Source organism: Homo sapiens, chromosome 19 (genome assembly GCF_000001405.40).
Source record: "Homo sapiens chromosome 19, GRCh38.p14 Primary Assembly".
In the NCBI taxonomy this organism is placed as follows: domain Eukaryota; kingdom Metazoa; phylum Chordata; class Mammalia; order Primates; family Hominidae; genus Homo; species Homo sapiens.
In genome coordinates, this window is record NC_000019.10 from 1099830 (window position 1) to 1121283 (window position 21454).

The 21454-nt window shown below is 63.1% G+C and overlaps 2 protein-coding genes across 9 annotated transcripts in view, besides 14 other annotated features; one reads left to right on the plus strand and one right to left on the minus strand.

Annotated features, from left to right (window-relative positions):
• Positions 465–602: a silencer, noted in NCBI's record as "fragment chr19:1100293-1100430 (GRCh37/hg19 assembly coordinates)". NCBI's record gives its function as "represses an EF-1alpha promoter that drives an FKBP-Casp9 reporter gene in an ReSE screen in phorbol 12-myristate 13-acetate-treated (for megakaryocytic differentiation) K562 erythroleukemia cells {active_cell/tissue: K562(+PMA)}" and the evidence as "EXISTENCE:reporter gene assay evidence [ECO:0000049][PMID:32094911]".
• Positions 1715–2249: an enhancer, noted in NCBI's record as "H3K4me1 hESC enhancer chr19:1101543-1102077 (GRCh37/hg19 assembly coordinates)". NCBI's record gives its function as "activates a minimal SCP1, AML or CMV promoter by ChIP-STARR-seq in primed H9 embryonic stem cells {active_cell/tissue: H9 hESC(primed)}" and the evidence as "EXISTENCE:reporter gene assay evidence [ECO:0000049][PMID:30033119]".
• Positions 2739–3108: an enhancer, noted in NCBI's record as "active region_13586". NCBI's record gives its function as "activates an Ori minimal core promoter by ATAC-STARR-seq in GM12878 lymphoblastoid cells {active_cell/tissue: GM12878}" and the evidence as "EXISTENCE:reporter gene assay evidence [ECO:0000049][PMID:35858748]".
• Positions 3139–3188: an enhancer, noted in NCBI's record as "active region_13587". NCBI's record gives its function as "activates an Ori minimal core promoter by ATAC-STARR-seq in GM12878 lymphoblastoid cells {active_cell/tissue: GM12878}" and the evidence as "EXISTENCE:reporter gene assay evidence [ECO:0000049][PMID:35858748]".
• Positions 3209–3288: an enhancer, noted in NCBI's record as "active region_13588". NCBI's record gives its function as "activates an Ori minimal core promoter by ATAC-STARR-seq in GM12878 lymphoblastoid cells {active_cell/tissue: GM12878}" and the evidence as "EXISTENCE:reporter gene assay evidence [ECO:0000049][PMID:35858748]".
• Positions 3891–3970: a silencer, noted in NCBI's record as "silent region_9664". NCBI's record gives its function as "represses an Ori minimal core promoter by ATAC-STARR-seq in GM12878 lymphoblastoid cells {active_cell/tissue: GM12878}" and the evidence as "EXISTENCE:reporter gene assay evidence [ECO:0000049][PMID:35858748]".
• Positions 3981–5000: a silencer, noted in NCBI's record as "silent region_9665". NCBI's record gives its function as "represses an Ori minimal core promoter by ATAC-STARR-seq in GM12878 lymphoblastoid cells {active_cell/tissue: GM12878}" and the evidence as "EXISTENCE:reporter gene assay evidence [ECO:0000049][PMID:35858748]".
• GPX4 (glutathione peroxidase 4) lies at positions 4165–6950 on the plus strand. Of its 4 annotated transcripts, none has more exons than NM_001039847.3 (7): positions 4165–4298; positions 5357–5451; positions 5537–5681; positions 5829–5980; positions 6413–6437; positions 6549–6630; positions 6711–6950. In NM_001039847.3, exons 1-7 carry the CDS (start codon positions 4215–4217, stop codon positions 6809–6811), a joined length of 684 nt encoding a protein of 227 aa, NP_001034936.1. In that variant the 5' UTR covers positions 4165–4214; the 3' UTR covers positions 6812–6950. The 4 variants fall into 4 exon arrangements, with proteins under 4 accessions (NP_001034936.1, NP_002076.2, NP_001354761.1 ...); NM_002085.5 differs by having other exon boundaries at positions 6571–6630; NM_001367832.1 differs by having other exon boundaries at positions 4228–4298; positions 6571–6630.
• Positions 6591–7467: an enhancer, noted in NCBI's record as "H3K27ac-H3K4me1 hESC enhancer chr19:1106419-1107295 (GRCh37/hg19 assembly coordinates)". NCBI's record gives its function as "activates a minimal SCP1, AML or CMV promoter by ChIP-STARR-seq in primed H9 embryonic stem cells {active_cell/tissue: H9 hESC(primed)}" and the evidence as "EXISTENCE:reporter gene assay evidence [ECO:0000049][PMID:30033119]".
• Positions 7013–7182: an enhancer, noted in NCBI's record as "active region_13589". NCBI's record gives its function as "activates an Ori minimal core promoter by ATAC-STARR-seq in GM12878 lymphoblastoid cells {active_cell/tissue: GM12878}" and the evidence as "EXISTENCE:reporter gene assay evidence [ECO:0000049][PMID:35858748]".
• Positions 7809–21454, minus strand: part of SBNO2 (strawberry notch homolog 2) — a 66631-nt gene continuing 52985 nt past the window's right edge. For 3 of the 5 annotated variants that reach the window (NM_014963.3, XM_047438466.1, NM_001100122.2), the window contains 21 exons: positions 20077–20194; positions 19687–19792; positions 19182–19335; positions 17494–17670; positions 17000–17097; positions 16192–16274; positions 14402–14593; positions 13706–13875; positions 12989–13120; positions 12573–12708; positions 12360–12472; positions 12167–12238; positions 11677–11785; positions 11190–11264; positions 10916–11059; positions 9854–9948; positions 9677–9769; positions 9463–9594; positions 9306–9382; positions 8950–9140; positions 7809–8875 (listed from right to left, as the gene is read on the minus strand). In NM_014963.3, coding sequence (NP_055778.2) covers positions 8391–8875; positions 8950–9140; positions 9306–9382; positions 9463–9594; positions 9677–9769; positions 9854–9948; positions 10916–11059; positions 11190–11264; positions 11677–11785; positions 12167–12238; positions 12360–12472; positions 12573–12708; positions 12989–13120; positions 13706–13875; positions 14402–14593; positions 16192–16274; positions 17000–17097; positions 17494–17670; positions 19182–19335; positions 19687–19792; positions 20077–20194 — 2952 coding nt within the window. In that variant the 3' untranslated portion in view covers positions 7809–8390. Of the gene's footprint in view, positions 8876–8949; positions 9141–9305; positions 9383–9462; positions 9595–9676; positions 9770–9853; positions 9949–10915; positions 11060–11189; positions 11265–11676; positions 11786–12166; positions 12239–12359; positions 12473–12572; positions 12709–12988; positions 13121–13705; positions 13876–14401; positions 14594–16191; positions 16275–16999; positions 17098–17493; positions 17671–19181; positions 19336–19686; positions 19793–20076; positions 20195–21454 lie in introns of those variants that run through there. The other 2 variants (XM_011527804.4, XM_047438467.1) reach the window with 2 other exon arrangements.
• Positions 11011–11930: an enhancer, noted in NCBI's record as "H3K4me1 hESC enhancer chr19:1110839-1111758 (GRCh37/hg19 assembly coordinates)". NCBI's record gives its function as "activates a minimal SCP1, AML or CMV promoter by ChIP-STARR-seq in naive H9 embryonic stem cells {active_cell/tissue: H9 hESC(naive)}" and the evidence as "EXISTENCE:reporter gene assay evidence [ECO:0000049][PMID:30033119]".
• Positions 11931–12850: an enhancer, noted in NCBI's record as "H3K27ac-H3K4me1 hESC enhancer chr19:1111759-1112678 (GRCh37/hg19 assembly coordinates)". NCBI's record gives its function as "activates a minimal SCP1, AML or CMV promoter by ChIP-STARR-seq in naive and primed H9 embryonic stem cells {active_cell/tissue: H9 hESC(naive and primed)}" and the evidence as "EXISTENCE:reporter gene assay evidence [ECO:0000049][PMID:30033119]".
• Positions 12851–13770: an enhancer, noted in NCBI's record as "H3K27ac-H3K4me1 hESC enhancer chr19:1112679-1113598 (GRCh37/hg19 assembly coordinates)". NCBI's record gives its function as "activates a minimal SCP1, AML or CMV promoter by ChIP-STARR-seq in primed H9 embryonic stem cells {active_cell/tissue: H9 hESC(primed)}" and the evidence as "EXISTENCE:reporter gene assay evidence [ECO:0000049][PMID:30033119]".
• Positions 17079–17592: an enhancer, noted in NCBI's record as "H3K27ac-H3K4me1 hESC enhancer chr19:1116907-1117420 (GRCh37/hg19 assembly coordinates)". NCBI's record gives its function as "activates a minimal SCP1, AML or CMV promoter by ChIP-STARR-seq in primed H9 embryonic stem cells {active_cell/tissue: H9 hESC(primed)}" and the evidence as "EXISTENCE:reporter gene assay evidence [ECO:0000049][PMID:30033119]".
• Positions 17593–18105: an enhancer, noted in NCBI's record as "H3K27ac-H3K4me1 hESC enhancer chr19:1117421-1117933 (GRCh37/hg19 assembly coordinates)". NCBI's record gives its function as "activates a minimal SCP1, AML or CMV promoter by ChIP-STARR-seq in primed H9 embryonic stem cells {active_cell/tissue: H9 hESC(primed)}" and the evidence as "EXISTENCE:reporter gene assay evidence [ECO:0000049][PMID:30033119]".

Genomic DNA, 21454 nt, shown 5'->3' on the forward strand with positions numbered 1-21454 from the left:
GAGGTTGCAGTGACCTGAGATTGCGCCACTGCACTCCAGCCTGGGTAACAGAGTGAGACTCTGTCTCAAAAAAAAAAACCCCAGATGTCCATCCACAGATGAATAAATAAACACAATGTGATCCCTCCACACACTGGAATATTTCTGAGCCATGAAAAGGAATGATGAGGCTCTGACACAGGCCACAATGTGGATGTAGCCTGAGGACCTCATGCTCAGTGAGAGAAGCCAGGCACAAAAGAACACGCAGTGTGTGATCCCATTTCCATGAAATGTCCAGGACAGGCCAATCCACAGAGACAGGAGGGGATGTGTGTGTGCCAGGTCCTAGGGGAGGAGATGGAGAGTGAAGGCTGATGGGGTCTGGGCTTCCTTTGGGGACAATGAAAATACTCTGTGCTGGGTGCGGTGGCTCACGCCTGTAATCCCAGCACTTTGGGAGGCCTAGGCAGGCGGATCACCTGAGGTCGGGAGTTTGAGACCAGCCTGACCAACATGGAGAAACCCTGTCTCTACTAAAAATACAAAACTAACTGGGTGTGGTGGCGCACGCCTGTAATCCCAGCTACTTGGGAGGCTGAGGCAGGAGAATCGCTTGAACCTGGGAGGTGGCAGTGCAGTGAGCTGAGATCGTGCCACTGCACTCCAGCCTGGGCAACAAGAGCGAAATTCTGTCTCAAGAGAAAAAAAAAATTCTGGAACTAGATAGATAGAGGTGATGGTCTCATAACATTGTACACGTCCTAAAAACACTGAATTGTACACTTTGAAGTGTTAAAATGTTGAATTTCATATGTATTTTGTTTGAATTTCAAAAACTTTTTTTTTTTTTGAGACAGAGTCTTGCTGTATCCCCCCAGGCTGGAGTGCAGTGACACGAACTCGGCTCACTGCAACCTCCACCTCCAGGGTTCAAGCAATTCTCCTGCCTCAGCCTCCTGAGTAGCTGGGATTACAGGAGCACGGCACCACTCCCAGCTAATTTTTGTATTTTTAGTGGAGATGGGGTTTCCCCATGTTGGTCAGGCTGGTCTTGAACTCCTGACCTCGTGATCCACCCGCCTTGGCCTCCCAAAGTGCTGGGATTACAGGCGTGAGCCATTATGCCTGGCCCTAATTTTTGTACTTTTAGTAGAGACAGTTTCCCTATGTTGGCCAGGCTGGCCTCAAACTCCTAACCTCAGGTGATCCGCCTGCTTCGGCCTCCCAAAGTGCTGGGATTACAGATGTGAGCCACCGCACCCAGCCAAAAAGTTTTTTTTGAGACGGAGAGTCTCGCTCTCTTGCCCAGGCTGGAGTGCGGTGGTGCGATCTCGGCTCACTGCAAGCTCCGCCTACCGGGTTCACACCATTCTCCTGCCTCAGCCTCCCGAGTAGTAGCTGGGACTACAGGAGCCCTCGACCACACCTGGCTAATTTTTTGTAATTTTAGTAGAGACGGGGTTTCACCGTGTTAGCCAGGATGGTCTCGATCTCCTGACCTCGTGATCTGCCCGTCTCAGCCTCCCAAAGTGCTGGGATTACAGGTGTGAGCCACCATGCCTGGCCAAAAAGATCTTAAAAAAGAAATGAAGCCACAGGACAGCCCCTCCCCAGTCCTTCCTGGAGCCAGGGGCTGCTCTAGAAAGATATGTGGCAACACAGCTTCCTGCAGGGACACTCAAGAACTTCCGCCCTCACAGGGCTGGAGCCTTGAGAGGTCCCCGAGACTCCATTTCCCCGTTCGTGAAATGGGGACACTCTGGGAAAAGCTGTGAAGCCCCCAGCACAAATCTCTCCCAGAGCCTGGGGCCCCGTTCTCAGATCCGAGGTCGCGACCCCGTGTTTTCCCCACTTCTGACTTTATCACAATTGGCAGGAAGTCAGGAATGGGATCAAGTCTCTCCGCGGAGCTGTGGGTGCTGAGCTGTTTTTCTGGCAACCCTGAAATAAACTCCCATTTCAGTGCACATGTTTGCAACAAACTTAAGGAAAACAACACCGGCAAAATTGCGAACAGCTGAGCCTTCGCAAGGGCAAGAACAGAGTCACCAGTGTGGCCCTGTCACCCGGCACTGCCAGGGCGGGAGGAAATGGGGGGGTTTCCTGAGAAGTCAGACAATGGGAGTTGACTCCAAGAACTCAGCCTCTAGGGGCTGGGCGGGAGCAAAGCCATGTGAACAGACTTATGCAAGACCAGGATTCGGCCAGCCCTGCTCAGGGATCCTTGCTTCACTGCCTCTGCCACCAAACCATCCATGACGCCTCTGTGCTGCATCTGGCAGGCCTGAGTCGGGGGCAGTGGCGGGGGCAGGCTCATAGCACCCCCCAAGTCAACCCGGCCCTGAGTCTGTCTCTGAAGAAATACTCAGTGCAGGGTCAGAAAAGGTTAAGACCTTGAGGACAACATACAAATCCCAAGCACCTAGGCGGGGTAGAGTGGCTCACACCTGTAATCCCAGCACTTTGGGAGGCCGAGGCAGGCGGATCACCTGAGGTCGGGAGTTCGAGACCAGCCTGACCAACATGGTGAAAGCCCGTATCTACTAAAAACACAAAAATTAGCTGGGCGTGGTAGCACATGCCTGTAATCCCAGCTACTCAGGAGACTGAGGCAGGAGAATCACTTGAACCCGGAAAGCGGAGGTTGCAGTGAGCTGCGATGGAGCCACTGCACTCCAGCCTGGGTGACAGACCAAGACTCCTCAAAAAAAAAAAAAAAAATCCAAACCCCTGCCTGTACAGGGGTCAAAGTCCAATCACGGTGACTCAGTTCCCAAGTATGAGATGAGTGTTTCTGTTGCCACATGTCCAAGCCACGAAGTGAAAAACAGAGTTGGAAGCCAAGATGTGGGGCAGTATGGGCTCGGGTGTGCCCATACCTTGTAATGTTAGAAGTGTAAGAAAACCCTCCAGACTTGTGTTTATTTTCTGAGCACATACCGCGCGTCCCTGCGTGGGCAGCTGCCCCTGGGGGTGGGAGCCCAGGAAACTCCAGGTTCTCAGTTAAGTGGTAACTGTCTTGATGACTCTCAGGTCTCAGTGCCCACATTATACAAGCGGCTCAGCAACCAGACCCAGGATGGGGAGTCACTGACCCCCTGCGCCCATGGCAGGGGTGAGGGTAGGGACACCCCCATAAGATGGAGCTGTGATGAGAAGCAAACCCAACTCAGTTTGGTTTCATTTACATTAAAAAGGCAAATCCCTTGGCCGGATGCGGTGGCTCACACCTGTAATCCCAGCACTCTGGGAGGCCTAGGCGGGCAGATCACCTGAGGTCAGGAGTTCGAGATCAGCCTGGCCAACATGGTGAAACCCCGTCTCTACTAAAAATACAAAAAAATTAGCTGGGTGTGGTGGCTCGCTCGTGTAATCCCAGCTACTCAGGAGGCTGAGTCAGGAGAATCGCTTGAACCCGGGGGCTGGGTGGAGGTTGCAGTGAGCTGAGATAGCGCCACTGCACTCCAGCCTGGGCAAAAGAGCAAAAAAACTGTGTCTCGGAAAAAAAAAAAAAAAAAAGGCAAATCCCGGCCGAGCCTTTGGCTCACGCATGTGATCCCAGCACTTTTGGGAAGCTGAGGCTGGAGGATCACTTGAGGTCAGAAGTTTGAGACCAGCCTAGGCAACATAGCGAGACCCCCATGTCTACAAAACAATAATTAGCCAGGAATGGTGGATGAGCCTGTTGTCCCAGCTACTCGGGAAGCAGAGACGGGAGGTTCGCTTGAGCCTGGGAGGTCGAGGCTGCAGTGTGCCCTGATCGTGCCACTGCACGTTAGCCTGGGCAACACAGCAAGACCCCGTGTCTTAAAAAAAAAAAGGTAAATAAGAGTTGGGGACACTTTTCTGCGAGTTGGAGAAACCAAACCCCCTCGACGAGTCTTAAGTAGTATTCTCAGGTTGTCTGGCCTGCGGCCGCGCTGCTGTCAACCAGCCGGATAACTGCGCTGCCTCCCGACGCGCCGCCAGCCAGGCCACGGCCTCCTAGACACAAGCGAGCATGCGCAGTCGCCAACAACAAGTCCGCACGTCCGGTCCCGCCCCCCCTTCCCCGCCTTCTTCCCACTCCGGCCTCCCATTGGCTGACGTCGGCGCGAGCGCTCAACACCGACGCGTCTGACCAATGAGCGCTCTGGAGGGCGTGGCCGTGGGAAAGGAGGCGCGGAAAGCCGACGCGCGTCCATTGGTCGGCTGGACGAGGGGAGGAGCCGCTGGCTCCCAGCCCCGCCGCGATGAGCCTCGGCCGCCTTTGCCGCCTACTGAAGCCGGCGCTGCTCTGTGGGGCTCTGGCCGCGCCTGGCCTGGCCGGGACCATGGTGAGCTAGCGCCGCGGCCGTTGCCGGCCCGGTGACCGTTGGGGCGGGCGCGCGATCCCTGCCTCCGCTCGCCGGCGTGGGGAACCCTCAGGCTCCAGTGACCTTGGTGGGGGGCGTCTGGGGGCTCCCCCTCCCCACCCCCGGCCGGGCACGGACGCGGGTGACCGTACTGCGACGCGCTCCGCGGCCCTCCAGGCCGTTGTAGGCGCGCGGGCTGGGGTCGGGGAAGGGGAAGGGGTTGTTCCACGCGCGCGGGTCGTGGTCGGGGAAGGGGCCGTCCAGGCCGTTGCAGGCGCGCGTGCCGGGGCCGGGGTCGGGGGTCCAGGCTTGCAGGGGGCGGGGTCCGGGACGGCTGGGGCGGAGCTGGACCGTTGAGGGCCACGGCGGGGCGTCTCCGGGCCGAGCGGGGCTGCTGCGCCCGAGCGGTTGGGGGCGCGGAGGGCTGGAAATCCCGGATCACGCGCCCCCGGGCGCCGCCCCGCCCCCGCACCTTGGCCTAGCGCGGTGGCGTCACAGTCGCGCAGTCCTGACTACGGCCTCCGGGCCCTTTGTCCCCGCTAGCGGCGCTCGGGGTGGGGGAGCCAGGAGGGGCGGGAGACGGGCGGGTATGGGCCGCGCGGGCGCAGGCTCCCCCGGGCGCCGCAGGCAGCGGTGCCAGAGCCGGGGCAGGCGGCGGCCGCGAGCCCCTCGGCGGCGGAAGGCCCCAGCGTGCAGGCGCAGGAGGGCGCGGCGCCGGCGGAAGAAGCCCTGTCCCCGCAGCTTGCGACCGGAGATCCACGAATGTCCCAAGTCCCAGGACCCGGTGCGCGCGGGGCCCCCACACCGGCTAATGTGGCACATTTTGGGGTTGGAACCCTCTCCCGGCCTCCGGGTCTCCGGTAAAACCGGACCAGAAGTACAAGGGGGCGTGTGCGTTTAAGGAGGAGGAGCGTTCAGGTCTTCAGGGCCGCAGGGCCTCGGTGTCCCCGCCACCGACCCGCTCCCGATCCCTTCCTGCCTCAGGGTCCCGGGCTCAGCCTCCCGTCCACGCTCCCTGCTCAGCTTCCTTTGCCTTGCAGTGCGCGTCCCGGGACGACTGGCGCTGTGCGCGCTCCATGCACGAGTTTTCCGCCAAGGACATCGACGGGCACATGGTTAACCTGGACAAGTACCGGTGGGCGCTCGCCTGGGGTGGGGCGCGGGGTCGGGCCCTGGGAGGGGGCCGTGTTCTTCTGCGCTGACGCCGCCGATCCTCGCAGGGGCTTCGTGTGCATCGTCACCAACGTGGCCTCCCAGTGAGGCAAGACCGAAGTAAACTACACTCAGCTCGTCGACCTGCACGCCCGATACGCTGAGTGTGGTTTGCGGATCCTGGCCTTCCCGTGTAACCAGTTCGGGAAGCAGGTGGGCTGCTGCGTCCCCGGGGCCCGCAGAGGCGGGTGGGTGGGGGTCGGGGTGGGCTCCAGCCTGGAGAGGGCCTGGGAGTGTGCAGGGGGCCCGGACTGAGGGGGTGCCAGCCCCCGACTCACTCACACACCTTGGCCGCCACAGGAGCCAGGGAGTAACGAAGAGATCAAAGAGTTCGCCGCGGGCTACAACGTCAAATTCGATATGTTCAGCAAGATCTGCGTGAACGGGGACGACGCCCACCCGCTGTGGAAGTGGATGAAGATCCAACCCAAGGGCAAGGGCATCCTGGGAAAGTGCGTGACCTCTGGGGACAGTACGGCTGCTGGGGTGGGGGTGGGGGGGCTGCTGGGATGCTCACACCTCCCTGGGGCAGAATGGCTCATGGCTCGGGGGGCGGTTGCGGGGAGGTGCTGGGACTCTCACATCGCGTGGCCTCCTGGGGGTAAGATGGCTCAGGGGGACATAGAGGGCTGTGGAGGCAGCCAGGGATGCCCACACCTTTGTGGCCTCCTGGGGACAGGATGGCTCGGGGGCCTGTGGGGGGCTGTTGGGACTCTCACACTGCATGGCCTCCTGGGGTAAGATGGCTCTGGGGGGGCTTGGGGGCACTGTGGCTGTGGAGGCAGCCGGGGAAGCTCACACCCTTGTGGCCTCCTGGAGACAGGACAGCTTGGGGACTGTGGGGGGCTGCTGGGGACGCTCACGTCCATGTGCTTCTTTTCCAGTGCCATCAAGTGGAACTTCACCAAGGTAAGGGGGCTGTGGGGGGTAGGGGACCAGCTTCCCCTGGCCACAGCCGTGGCCCAGATGGGCAGCGGACAGGAAGGGCAGCCTCAGCCCCTTGCAGGGGTGGCCCCACAGTTTGGACACCGTCTCTCCACAGTTCCTCATCGACAAGAACGGCTGCGTGGTGAAGCGCTACGGACCCATGGAGGAGCCCCTGGTAGGTCCTCTCTAGGGAGCCCGCTTGAGGCTCGGGGGCTTGGGAGGTAGCTGCCCTAACCCAGCTTTCCTCCCCGACAGGTGATAGAGAAGGACCTGCCCCACTATTTCTAGCTCCACAAGTGTGTGGCCCCGCCCGAGCCCCTGCCCACGCCCTTGGAGCCTTCCACCGGCACTCATGACGGCCTGCCTGCAAACCTGCTGGTGGGGCAGACCCGAAAATCCAGCGTGCACCCCGCCGGAGGAAGGTCCCATGGCCTGCTGGGCTTGGCTCGGCGCCCCCACCCCTGGCTACCTTGTGGGAATAAACAGACAAATTAGCCTGCTGGATCTTTCTGCGTAGGGGCTTGGGGGGCCCTTTTGCCAGGGGCCCCTCCATGTCAGGGCCAGTTGCCGTCAGCTGCCAGGCTGGGGGTGCCATGGAGGTGGCGTGTTGTTGCCCCCTCTTCCTCCAGGCTCGGGGGGCTGTGCTGGCTGCAGTGCTGGGGTGCAGTGAGATCTGGGCCCGTTGGACACCCAGCCCTGGCTCTTAATCCGTGCAGCCCCACCTGCTGTGCACAGGCAGGGCCTGGTGTAGTGCCGAGTCTTGGAGGAGATAATTCTAAGTGGCTGTGCTTCCTGGCCCCGGGCCTTAACTGTTAGGAGGTGGCTACTGGGGCCTCCCCTGGCCAGGAAGCAGAAGTGCAGAGGCCCGAGGAACAGCGTGGCCCTGGTGCTGGGGATGGGTTGGGCACCCACACCGGCCCTTGGGGCCTCACCTGGCTGGGGGGTGTGGGGGTGGCTGGGTGGTTACTGTTTGCACAGAGTCCCTCCGTGAGGGCTGGGGATGGACAGGCCAGGAGGGGCTGGTAGAGCAGTACCAGCCACCGTTCATGGGACCCGGGGGCTGTCTGGACACGGCCTGGCTGCCCACCTGCACAGCTAGAGGGACTGCAGCCTGCCAGGGTGGCTGATCCCAGCTGCCCCCACTGGGGGTCTGTGGAATGGACGGTCCATGGCACCTGCCCCAGACACTGGGTTGAGAGGTCTGTCTCTCCCAGCCCTCGTCCCCTCTCATCCACATGGGGCCAGCACAGGCAGTGGGCAGAAAGGCCTGGTAACCAGGAGAGCCTGGGGGGATGCCCACACACCCCTGCCCTTCCCTCCCTGTCCCACAGGCTGAGGAGCAGACTCCGTGGGAAGTAGGCAAAAGGCACATATATTTAAAAAAGTCCTTTACATATGTACATCAGAACTTGCTATAAATACATAGAAACCGCAGGCGCCACCCTGCCAGCTCCGCGGCCTGGGGCCTGGGAGAGGTGAGCGGGCAATAACTTAGGGGTCAGGGAAGGGCTGGGGGAGGGAGAATTGCATATATTAGCAGGGGTCTGCCCCACGGAGCCCCCGAGACGCGGGGCCCTGAGCACCTGGGGTTTCCTGAGTTTCTAGCTCTTGGGACCACCCGGTTTCACGGATTTCAAGGGTTTGGGCCCACTGAGCCCTTGTGGGTGCCCAGTCCCAGAGCAGCCACCCGGAGCCCCTTCCTACTTGGGAGGAGAGGCACAGAGAGGGCCCTGCCACGCCCCGGCCCCCAGCTGTCCTGAGTGGGCCCCGCCAGGGCTGACCAGGTGGGGGCCCGGGTCGGGCGCTGAAGGCACTGCGGCCAGGGCCTAGGGCTCCTCTGAGCAGTGGTCAGGGGACCTTGGCCCTGCTCCCCACCGCTGCTCCTAGGGGAGAAACGGTCCCTGTGTCTTGGGGCATGTTTCGCCTAAAGGCGTGTCAGAGAGGAGCCTGGGCGCCGGGGAAGGGTGGGCTGAACTGGATCACGCTCTGCCGCTCGGGACCACCGCCCGCCGCGCCCCCCGCCCCCGCGCCCTCCCCCAGCGCGCCCTCGGAGGGCGGCCCCGCGTGCAGCGAGCGCAGCATGTCCTCCAGCACCTCCTTGAAGTTGATGTCGCAGCCCTGGTGCGCGAGGGCCGCAGGGTCGGCCTGGGCGTCGGGGGTGCCCAGCGGCACGACGCCGGGGCCGGCGTCCAGGGACAGCGGCGCCGGGAAAGAGAAGTGCGGGGGCGGCGGGAAGGCCTCGGCCGGGGGGCTGTAGGTGAGGTCCAGCACCTCTCCGGGGCCGCAAGGCAGCGCCAGCGGGCGCGGGGCGGGCGGGGCGGGGCAGCCCAGGGCGGGCGCCTGCCTGCGCTTCACGTCCGCATCCATCAGCCGCAGCTCCTGCAGCACCCGGCGCACGCAGCCCTCGGGGATCTTGATGCCTGCGGGCAGAGCGTCGGGGTCAGGGCCGGCGCTGGGGGCTCGGGCCTTCCCGGGGCGCCCGCCGCCCACTCACCCACTTGCTTCTTCCTGTCCTTGGTCTTCAGCCGCACGATCTGCAGGTAGCTGCTGCTGCTGACGTCGGCCATGACGGCGGCGATGCGGCCCCACACGCGCAGCAGCGCGCCGCACAGCATGTAGTGGTGCCGCAGCCGCAGCCCCTGCAGGCAGTCCTTACCCTCCTGCGCCAGCCGGCAGTGCCGGTTCCTGCGGACGAGACGGGTCGTCTCGGCTCAGGCGGGTCCCAGGGGCCCGCAGGCTCCCCAGGTGCCCTGAGATCTCCCGCCTCCTCTCAGGGTCTCGGGAGCCCCCGATCCCCGCCTGGGTCGCCGCCATCTGCCGGTTTCCCCCTGGTCCCCGGCCCGCCCTCACCAGGCGCTGTGGCTGCAGTGCGTCAGCGACAAAGCGTAGCCACTCTCCCAGGGCTCCTTGGCCTCCTCCGCGGTGACCTAGGGACACAGGGCCGCATGAGCCTGGGCGGGGTCAGGGCCGGCAACCCGAGCGAAAGCTGCGCCCGGCGGCCGCCTACCCGGTGGAACTTGCGGCGGAGGCTGTCCAGGGCCTCCAGCTGGCTCTGCCGGCCGATGTTGGGCTTGTACACCGTGAAGAACTGGCCGCGGTTCTGCTCCGCCAGCAGGCAGCTGGGCTTGTTACCGCGGACCTGCGGAGGGGGGCGTTGAGGCCGCGCCCCGGTCCGCCCCCCGCGGGCCCTCCTCTGGGGGGGTAACCCCGCCCGACCCCACCTTGTAGGAGAGGTAGAAGCCGTCATAGGGGCCCGTCAGCGCCAGCGACTTGGCAAAGGCGTCCTCCCACTTCAGGCCGCGGTCCACGCTGATCTGCCACGGCACGGGGTGGGGGGGTGTGAGTGTGGTGGGGGCGGGGTGGGCAGAGTGTGAGGGGCTGTGGGGCTTCCTGCTGACCTTGTAGAAGACCACCTGCCCGTCCTGCGGGTGCCCGGGAGCCAGGAACACCTGCTGGCTCTCCTCGTAGATCTCCTCGATACCGGGAGCAAGGTCTAGGGGGGCGGGTGGAGGGTAAGTGGTGTCCAGGCCTGGGACTGTGGGCTGGGGCCAGGGTCAGTCCCGTAGCCGGGGCGCACCCTAGAGACGACCCCCCGAGAGCACAGGAGAGGGTGTCCTGGATCCTGGCCTGACCTGGCCCAGCGTGGGGATGGTGCACGTGGGCCCCAACCTGGCAACCGCTCAGGTCCTAGGTAACCCCGAGCAGGCTGTGGGGGATCGTGGGAGCCTGGGGGCCGCTCAGGTCCTATGTAACCCCGAGCAGGCTGTGGGGGATCGTGGGAGCCTGGGGGCCGCTCAGATCCTAGGTAACCCCAAGCAGGCTGTGAGGAGATTGTAGGAGCCTGGGGGCTGCTCAGGTGCTGGGTGACCCCAAGCAGGCTGTGGGGGATCGTGGGAGCCTGGTTGGCTGCGGCACTGCTCATGAGTGAAGTAGCCATGGCCCGGACCCGACCCTCATCTGGACACAGGGAAGTGGTCCTGATGGACAGGCCTGGCCCCATGAGGCTGGAAGCACAGGCTCGCCGGCCTTTCGTTCACAACAATGTAGCAGGTGCCCCGTGAAGCCTGGGGATGAGCATGGTGGGCAGCGTGCACCAGCCTGGGCACCTTCCAGAGACGTGCACGGTGATCCCACGAGCCCTGTGCCTGCATCCGCCCAGTCTCACCCAGTACCCTCGCTCACCCAGGATGCATGGCGCTTCCACGAGCCCCTTGCCCACCTAGGCCCTCGCCGTGCTCACCCACAATGCACGGTGTTCCCACGAGCCCCGAGCCCACCTGGGATGCCCGGCGTTCCCACGAGCCCCTCGCCCACCCGGGATGCACGGTGTTCCCACGAGCCCCTCGCCCACCCGGGATGCCCGGTGTTCCCACGAGCCCCGAGCCCACCCAGGATGCATGGCGTTCCCACGAGCCCCGCACCCACACCCACCCACACCACACCCCGGCACCTGTGCTCACCCAGGATGCCCATGTCGTATTTGCCCTCCCGCTTGTCCATCTCGATGAGGTGGTCGAAGGTGTCTGAGAAGTACTGGAACAGGGCGTTCTGCTTGTGCACCTCCAGCCCCAGGATGCGGTTCAGGAACTTGGTGATGGAACAGTCTGGTAGGGGAGGGAGCCAAGCCTCAGGCTGCGCTGGGAATCCCTCTCCCTGCTTTGCTCACCACCCGAGGCCAAGGTTGCATGAGATGAGAGACAGGAGCGCCTCTGGGCCTGGGTGTGGGGCACTCACCCTTCTCCACGTCCAGGCAGCCATTCCGGGACTCCCGGCCACCAATGCCCACAGACAGCAGGCCCTGCTTCATGTCTGCGGGGAGAGGGGCCTCACATGCTGGTCTTCCCACCCCTGCCCCTCCCTCGAAGCCCCTAGCTCCTTTTCCAGAGACCAGCAGCTCCCTGGGGGGCTGGGGAGCAGCTGCAGCCTAGGGCCAGGGCCAGGGCCAGGAGCGGAGCCTTTTGCCTGACTTACAGGAGTGAGAACAGCATGTTCTTGGGGAGTAAACCCAAACCCCAGGCCCCTCAGCTGCCCTGGAAACCCACCCGGCAGCTGCTGGGGGCCGCCTTGGCTCCCTTTGCCTTCACAGCCCTCTCTGTCCGTGTGTGGGGAGGGGTCACTCAACACACAACCGGCCTACAAAGCCTGCTGCCCCAGCTGCTCTGGAGCCCAGTGCTCTGCAACCCCTGCCCCTCCCAGGAAGACCCCCACCAGCCCAGCTTACCCCGGAAGAAGGTGGGGACCCCTCCAGGGTATCCCTGGGGCACAGGCACTTTGTTCTCAGTCTGGCTCAGGATGGTGGTGAGGACACAGTGCAGGGCCCGGGTGCCATACTAGGGGGAGAAGGTGACTCGGGGAGGAGGCCCAGGGAGGAGGCTGGCTTTCCCTGGACCCCTGCCTCCCCAGAACCCCACCCTCCCCTAGGCCCCTGGACCCTGCCCTCCCCTAGACTCCTAGACCCCACCTCCCCCAGCTCTCAGCCACCTCCTCCCCGGGGGTCCTAGACTGGGTCCTCCCCCAGACCCCTGGATGCCACCTCCCTGAGCCCCTAGAAGCCCCCTTCCCCCCTGGGGGTCCTAGACCCGGCCCTCCTCCAGACCACTGAGCCCCACGTTCTCCAGCCCCCATCTACCCCCTCCCCCAGGCTCTTAGATCCGGCCCTCCCTAGACCCCTGCCCCTGCCCCGCCCCCCAACCCTGCCTTCCCTGCAGTACCTTGTTCTCAAAGTTGTACTTGCTGAGGTCACGGGACTCCGTGGCGCGGCGGTCTCCGTGGGTCAGGGCCCCCTGCCAGGGGTGGGGAGGCCATCAGTTGGTCACCTGGGGTCTGGCCTCTAGCACCCCACAAAGCTTTGGAGAGCCTTCCTGGGCCTGTCCCTGGTTCTCAGCCCCACCCCCACCTGCTCACCAGACTCTCCAGGCGCTTGGCCACGATGGAGGCGAACCGGCGCTCCCCGGCCAGCTCCGAGATGAGGAAGACATACTCTGGCGCGGAGACCTGGTTGGACCGGTGGGTGCGGCCTGGGGGCAGAGCTGCTCTCAGGGCCCGGCCAGGCGGGGGCGGGGCCGAGACCATGTTGGGGGCGGGGCCAGGCAGCGCTGGGGGCGGGGCCGGACTCACCGAACTGCTGGATGGCGCGGTCGGCGCTCCACGGCAGCTCCAAGGTCATGTGCACGCGGCGCCGCTGGTTCTGGACACGGCGGTCGGCTTGGAGGGAGACACCCGAGCTGGAGGCCTCCGAGATGATGGCCACGAGCTAGGGGGAAAGAAGGGGCCGGGACACGGTTGGTGCAAGGCCCGCCCCAGCGTTGCCGCCACCTCCTCACCCACTAGGCCCCCGCTCCAGGTCACCAGGACGTCCCGGGGCAGCGAGAGGCCTGCGGGGCGCGGACACCACCCGCCACACGGCCACTCGCGCCCGCACCTGGCACACACACACTCCAGAAGTGCGCGGGTCCACAGTCCCCGGGGACCCTTGGGCCCCTCTGTGCCTCTTGGGTCCCGTGGGCCGCGCCCAGTGCACTGCAGCCCCGCACCTTCTCGCCGCTCATGAAGCGCTGCTTCTCCCTGAGGTTCACGTGGTCGATGGACAGACCCTGCTCTGCCCGCGACTCGAAGGCCACCGTCCCGTCGGGCCTGGACACCACGCGGCCTTTCCTGCCGGTCATCTGCAGCCGAGACAGGGACAAAACCGGCCGTCAGTGTTGTGGCCTCGCAGGAGTCTGGCCACCCGTGTCTCAGCTTCCCTATGTCCTACAGTGGTCATGGGCTCCCAGCTGTGCACGGGAGGTGGGGGTGCTGGGAAAGGGAGGGCGGGACTGCTGGACCCAGGCGATGTGTGCCTGTCCAAGGCCTGGTATTATCAGCCAGCCGGCGCCACGAAGTGAAAAAGTGAAGCTGGGCGGGGGCAGGGAGTAGGAGGCCGCAGAACCAGGCCCAGGGGCTTGTGTCCTGGCCCTGGGCACCCCAAGGGGTGCGTTCAGGCAACGATCTAAGCAGAGGCCTGCGCAGGCCAGGCTGGGGGATCTGGGGCTTAGAGGGATGGGGCAGGCCGTCCACAGGAGGTCGTGGCCTCCCGGGCCGAGCTGGACAGCACGCTGCTGCCCCAGGGCTCCCCAAACGCCCCCTCCTCGCAGGGCCGCGGAGACGCAGAGTGACCAGCAGGGGCCACCAGAGCTGCACACAGCCTGCGTGAAGCCCCACCCACTGCCCATGCCCCGCCCACCACACTCCAGCTGCCACGTCCCACCCACCTCCGCCACCCGCTGGGGGCCGCCCAGCTGGTCGATGAGCTCGTCCAGGGTGTTGACTGGCAGTTCCCGGCCCAGCCGCCGCACTTTGTCCAGCAGATCCTGCTTCAGCCGCTCCACCCGCTCCAGGACCCCGGGGCCATGCGGGTCTCTCTGCAGGAGGCACAGGGGTCCTAGGGAGGAGGTGGAGGGTCAGGGCAGGACATGTTGGCTGCCTTCTAGGGCCCACCTAACTCAAGGCTGGCCCCTGGAGGGCAAGGACAAGGGGCCCGGGGCAACCCTGAGGGACGGCAGGGTGGCGGGGAAGCCCGGCACCGTGGCCCAGGACTGCTTTTCTGCACTTGTCTCCCTGAGACCAGCTGGGGCGAGACTAAGCCTCCTGTCGCGGACCAAACACTGTGACCTCACTGCCTCCACAGGGGTAGGGACTGCCCAGCCCCAAGCCCCAGCTCTGCCTCTGACCAGTGGTATAACCCCTGACCTCCCCTCTCTGGGCCTCAGTTTCCCCCATCTGTAAAGTGGGCACCATAGCAGCAGCTGGGCTCAGGTGGGCTGGACTGAGGGCTACAACCTGGGGTGGGTGGTGACCGCCAGGAGGCCGGGGGAGCCTCAGGCTGGAATCCTGACCCAGAGGTGGCTGCTCAGCCTGGACTGGAATCCTGACCCACAGGTGGCTGGCCAGCCTGGGCAAGCCCTCACCCCGGTCGTCACTGGGGAGCCCGACTGCATCAACGATGACAACGTCGTCATCCACCAGGGACTCGGGGGAGGAGTTGAAGTCGCTGTCCAGGCCAGGGTCCGACTCCGTGCTGCTGTCGTCACTGATGCGGATGACGCCCGCTGTCTCGCACGCCAGCCGGGGGGCTTTGGCCCCGCGTCCCCGAGGTCGCCCTGCAGGGAAGGACAGGGTCACCGAGGGCCAGACCGCAGCAAGGTGGAGGAGCAGGTGGAGGAGACGCAGCAGGACAGAGCAAGGCCAGTGGTCCGAGCTGGGGAGGTCCATCCGAGAACCCCCTGCCTCTGGGCAAGCAGCTCAGCTGTTCTCCAGGGACGCCCTCTAGGGAACCCCGTGCCCTGTGGCCAGGAGGGTACGGTGTGGGGGGCCATATTTTATTTATTTATTTTCTTTTGAGACGGAGTCTTACTCTGTCGCCAGGCTGGAGAACGGTGGCATCTCACTGCACTCTCTGCCTCCTGGATTCAAGCGATTCTCCTGCCTCAGCCTCCTGAGTAGGTGGGATTACAGGCGCCCACCACCACGCCTGGCTAATCTTTTGTATTTTAGTAGAGATGGGGTTTCACCATGTTGGCCAGGATGGTGTCGATCTCCTGACCTCGTGATCCACCTGCCTCAGCCTCCCAAAGTGCTGGGATTATAGGCGTGAACCACCACGCCTGGCTTATTTATTTATTTTTGAGATGGAGTTTCACTCTGTTGCCCAGGCTGGAGTGCAGTGGTGCGATCTCAGCTCACTGCAACCTCCACCTCCCGGGTTCAAGCAATTCCCCTGCCTCAGCCTCCTGAGCAGCTGGTATTACAAGCATGCACCACCACACCTGGCTAATTTTTCTATTTTTAGTAGAGATGGAGTTTCACCATGTTGGCCAGGCTGGTCTCAAACTCCTGGCCTCAGGTGATTTGCCCGCCTCAGCCTTCCAAAGTGCTGGGATTACAACAGGCGTGACCCACTGCACCTAGCCAATATTTTATTTTTATTAATTTTTTTGAGACAAGAGTTTTTTCTGTCACCCAAGTTGGAGTGCAGTGGCATGATCTCGGCTCACTGCAATCTCCACCTCTCAGGTTCAAGCGATTCCCCTGCCTCAGCCTCCCAAGTAGCTGGGATTATAGGCGTCCACCACCACGCCCAGCTAATTTTTGTATTTTTAGTAGAGACAGGGTCTCACCATGTTGGCCAGGCTGGTCTTAAACTCCTGACCTCAGGTGATCCACCCGCCTCGGCCTCCCAAAGTGCTGGGATTACAGGCGTGAGCCACCACGCCCAGCCAACGGGACAATATTAATAAACCCATATCCAACGTCCTTTCAGGCCTGGCCAGTATGGTGGACACGCGGGGTGCCTGGGGAGGCCACACACCAGACTTCGACAGGCAGCTCTGGGCTTCCCTGTGACAGAAGCCTGGGGGTTATCAATGGGCTCCCCAAGGGACCGTGGAGACCCTGAAAACGGAAGGTGGGAGGGGTCTCGCTCAGCACCCGCGTCCGTGTCCCGCCCCCCGGGTCTCGCTCGGCACCCACGTCTGTGTCCTTCAGGCTGTCTGTTGCTTCCTCTTCCCTAAGCGTTCCATGGCAGGGTCCACGCAAGACCTGCCACTGGCAGCGGAGCCTTGAGCCTGCCTGGCACGGACAGGACCTGCATTTGGCTGAGTGGACGGGGGAGTGGGGGAAGCAGGGAGCGACCAGCCAGCCCCCGGGGGGAGAAAGCAGAGGGGCAGGGGTGGGTGGGGCCATGGGGGGCAGGGCTTACGTTTCCGCTTGCTGCCCGCTCCTCTGTCCCGCTTTCTCTTGGTGGACGGAAAGTGCTTCTGAATTAGCGACAGGAACACGCCTCTGAAAGTGAGACGCGGAGTTTATTCTCACACGAGGAGCTGAGGCCAGGCGGGGTTGCTCTCCAGGAGCTGGACGCACCCCTGGGTCCCTGTGGGGGTCCCGGACAGGACCGGGCCTGGGCAGAGGGTCTCCTGTGTGGAGTGGGCTGGGGAGGACTGGGGGCTGCCTGTGAGCTCTCCTCTGGCCTCCTGGTGTCACAGGGCCACCTCGGCCACCAGGCTTCCCCCGCTCTGAGGAATGTGGCCGGATATGATGATGGCTCCCAGGACAGGGGCAGGGGGCAGGGTGAAGGGGTAGCTGGGGGCATTGGGGAGCTCCGACCCCCAGGCAATGGGGGGATCTAGGGGGGCTGCTGTGACCCTCCCGGGGCATTCTCAACCAACAGGGGAGAGGCTGGGGCTTCAGACAGCTGGGAGGGCCAGCCCCTAAAATCCACAGCCCCCTTGTTAAAACGGCACAGATGCAGGAAGCCTCCTTCTGAGACCCCTGGAGACCATGTCCCAAACCTTCCAGGCCCACCATGCCTGGGGTCCACCTCCAAGCCTCTGCTTTAGACCTGGAGCAGCGGTGAAGGCCTCTGTGGCTGAGGCTGGGGGCCCAGCAAAGCCCACCCCAGCACCTCCTGCTGCTGGGGCCAAGGGGCAGGGTCAGGCCACAGGTGGCCACAGAGAGGGGTGGCCATGAGCGCAGGAAGCCCACAGTCCTGTCCCCACCGTGACACTTACTCAGCGGCCGAGACGAAGCAGTTGAGGTGCCCATCGTTCTCCCCCAGCACCTCCCGCGTGCGCGCCTCGCCCGTGGACTGCAGCCCGATGACCACGCACTGTGGGACGGCAGAGGACTGTGAGCCACCAGCCCTGCTGTGGGGCCTCTGTGGGGCCAGAACCTGCCAGGCCTGGGGTGATGGCCACATCCCTCACTCTGCTGCTGTGCTCGCCTCCCCAGGAGGGGCCACGGCCCCCCTACAACACACACTGCTGGGTGGGGGTCTGCCGGCTGCCTGTCTCGGGATGGTGAGCTGCCCACTGTGTGGTCACACTCCGCTGTTCTGACACCCTGGCTGGCTCTGATTGGAAGACGGACATCCGGGCGTCTCTCACCCACCAGGGTGCAGCCCCCGCCCACGTCTGGGGAGGGGCCAGGAAGGACCTGGAAGAAGAGCAGCCTCCGCCCCTGCAGGCCCGGCCGCCCTCAGCCCTCGAAGGCCGCAGCCGCTCACCTTGTCTCGCGCCAGCTCCTCTCGGGCCAGCTCCACCAGCCGGCGCACCTTGGCTGCGATGCACAGATACTTGAAGAAGCGCTGGTGTGCCGACCAGAACTGGCCCCACAGGGACTTGCGCGACTCCAGGCCGATCCAGTCGGCCGCCTGCTGGAACACGTTCAGGGCCTCGGCCCACTGCAATGACACGTCACAAGGCGCCCCTGAGCTGTGGCTCCTGGCTCCCGACCCGGGCCCCGGCCCACCTGCCGCCAGCCCTGGGCAAGGCATCCCCACGCCAGGTGGAATTTAGGGCAGGATGGGGGTGCTGGGGGTGTGCACTGTAAGAGGCACTGCCTCTACCTGTACGGCAAAAACCTGAAAAACCAAAACACTCGTGGTGGGGAAGCCGTGCTGCAAACTGCACAGACTCCGCGCCCGCGGCAAACAGGCTCAGCTCCTTCCAAGAACACAGGGTGCTCGCAGCCACGCCTCTCTTGCTTTGGACCAGGGTCTCACCCAGGTGTGATCCTGTCCAGGGGACACTGGGCATGTCTGGGGCTGGCTGTGGTGGTCAGGTTTGGGGGCTGGTCCCGGCATGACTGGGTGGGCTGGGTTAGGGTGGCTGGGACTCTGGCCACGGATGCTGCTCCATACCCCAAAGTGCTCAGGACGGCCCCACCCCGGAGAGCAACCCGGCCCTGGGGGTTACGGGAGATGCTGGTTGTGTCACCTAAAGAAACGAGTGAAGAGGCTGGGTGTGGTGGCTCACGCCTGTAATCACAGCACTTTGGGAGGCTGAGGCGGTCAGATCGCCTGAGCTCAGGAGTTTGAGACCAACCAGCCTGACCAACATGGAGAAATCCTGTCTCTACCAAAAATATAAAATTGGCCGGGCTGGTGGCACATGCCTGTAACCCCAGCTACGCGGGAGGCTGAGGCAGGAGAATTGCTTGAATCTGGTAGGCGGAGGTTGCGGTGAGCCAAGATCGTGCCATTGCACTCCAGCCTGGGCAACAAGAGTGGAAACCCCGTCTCAAAAAATAAAAAAAAAAAACCATCGAACATACAGGGCTGTTGGGCGTGAGGGGGAGAAAACAGGACCTGTCCAAACATGGAGGGAACGACCAAGCCACATGGCCCACAGCAATGTGGATGCTGAACACGGCTACCAACTGCCAGCTGTGGGCCAGGACCTGGGGGCAAAGGGCTTGGGCACCACAGGAAGGGGGGCGGTGGTTTGGTCCCATCCCTCGTTATCACAGCCACATAAAAACCCCAGTGATGGCCGGGCACGTGGCTCACGCCTGTCATCCCAGCACTGTGGGAGGCCGAGGCGGGCAGATCACTTGCGGTCAGGAGTTTGAAACCAACCTGGCCAACATGGAGAAACACCGTTCTCTACCAAAAAATACACAAAATTAGCTGGGTGTGGAGGCGGGCACCTGTAACTCCAGCTACTCGAGAGGCTGAGGGGGGAGAATCGCTTAAACCCAAGAGGCAGAGGTTGCAGTGAACTGAGATCACACCACAGCACTCCAGCCTAGATGACAGCACGAGACTGTCTCAAAAAAACAACAAAAAAAAAACCCCAGGACAGGACAGGGCGGGCCGTCACCTGATGACGCCTGTGGCATCTGCAAGGCCACGGGGGAGCAATTTCACCCGGGAAACGCACAGGGGTCCCCGGGTCGGGTGCGCAGGCTCACCAGCAGGGCCGCGCGGTTGTAGACGCACTCGAAGGCTGGGGCCAGCGGGATCTCCTCGATGCGGAAGGTGACGCCGGAGAAGCTGAGCTGGCGTGCGATGTACATGCCGCTGACCTTCATGTCCATGGCCACGATCTCCATGGCGCCAACGCCCCTGCGGATGGACACAGCCCCCGTGAGCACGGCCAGAGCCCGTGGGGATGGAGCCACTCGGAGCGCGAGGCAGAGCCAGTCGCAGAGAGGGCGGGGTCGGCAGGAGCAGAGCCCTGGCGGCCACTGAGGCAGTTGGCAGCTGAGCCTGGCGGGGACGGGGCAGGAAGGGCTGCGGAGGGGCTGGCTTCCCTGGGAGTGCTGGGCAGCCCGAGGCAGTGAAACGAGCGACCCACATTCAGCACCTCTGGGTGCTGGGGAAGCACACGTGGCAGTGCCAGGCCTTGGGCTGATGGGCCTGAGGCCTCCTCCCCACCCCCCGCCGCCCCTCCACGTGGGTGAGAAGGGCACTCACCTCTTCTCGATGGCGTGCAGGAACTCCTCAAAGTTCCGGAAGGGTGTGCCCTCGCCCCAGATACCCAAGCGGCTCATGTAGATCATGTTCCGAGGCTCAGAGGCACCTGTGGGGGGAAGCTGCCGTCAGCTCCCCAACCCGGGAGGGCCCAGAGGCCGCGTCAGGGGACGACTAAGTTGGGACCACCCGACGAGGGGCCCTGCGGGGTTGGAGCCATGGGCCTGAAGAGAGCCAGCGTGGCCTTGGGACAGGCGCAGAGGTGCCCCAGTGTCCGAGGAGGAGCAGGGTGCAGACGGAGGCTGAGTACGCGTGTGGGATACCCCTTCGCGGGGACAGCCAGGCAGAAAGACGCTGCTGCGGGTGGGTCACGTGGGATCCGCACCGCCCCACCTGTGGCGCTGGCGTAGACCACGCGGGCCAGGGGCAGCTTGTTCTGCAGGTCTAGCACAGCCTTGCCCATCTTGGTGGAGCCGGCATTCTTGGCTTTGTGACACTCGTCGAACACGATCTGAGGCACACGTGGGTTAAGGAGTATTCTGAAGGACGGGGGCGACCCCAGGAGCCCAGGTCCTGACCACCCAAGACCCCACCTTCCTGGTGGGGGGCAAACGCCTGTGCGGCTGAGAACTCCACGAGGGAAGCCCAGGTCGGAGTGGCAGCCGGCTACCATGGGGGGCGGGCGGGCAGGCGGCCCCCACACGACCATTAGATGGGTGTGGCCTGGGATGGCTCCTCCCAGACTCTAAACAACACACACCGAGGATGGGGCCTCCGGCGAGGAAGGGTGGGATCCCTAAACCATGATATCGCAGGACGTTGCCATCGGAGGAGGATACCTGGAACCTGTTTTCTTTTTTGTTTGTTTTTTTGAGACAGGGTCTTGCTCTGTCACCCACGCTGGAGTGCAGTGATACAATGTCAGCTCACTGCAACCTCTGCCTCTCAGATTCAAGTGATTCTCCTGCTTCAGCCTCCCAAGGAGCTGGGACTACAGGTGTGTGCCACCACCACAACCGGCTAATTTTTGTAGTTTTGGTAGAGACGGGGTTGGCCGTTTGGTTGGCCAGATAATCTCAAACTCCTGACCTCAAGTGACCTGCCTGCCTCAGCCTCCCAAAGTGCTGGGATTACAGGTGTGAGCCGTGCCCAGCCCTAATTCTTTGTTTTTTTTTGAGACGAAGTCTCGCTCTGTCACTAGGCTGGAATGCAGCGGCGCGATCTCAGCTCACTGCAACCTCCGACTCCCTGGTTCAAGCGATTCTCCTGCCTCAGCCTCCTGAGTAGCTGGGATTACAAGTGTGCGCCACCACGCCCGGGTAATTTTTGTATTTTCAGTAGAGACGGGGTTTCACCATATTGGTCAAGACAGTCTGGAACTCTTTTTTTTTTTAGATGAGACACAGTCTCGCTCTGTCGCCTGGGCTGGAGAGCAGTGGGGCAATCTCGGCTCACTGCCACCTCTGCCTCCTGGGTTCAAGCGATTCTCCTGCCTCAGCCTCCCGGGTAGCTGGGATTACAGGTGCGCACCACCACGCCCAGCTAACTTTTGTATTTTTAGTACAGACGTGGTTTCACCATGTTGTCCAGGTGGTCTCGAACTCCTGACCTCGTGATTCGCCTGCCTCGGCCTCCCAAAGTGCTGGGATTACAAGCGTGAGCCACTGCACCCGGCCAGGTTCTTAATATTTTAAGACGAAAGAAAGCCAAGTTCCAGGAAAGCAGTCTGAGGAAGGAAAACTGGGAGAATACAAATTAAACGGCCGGCCCT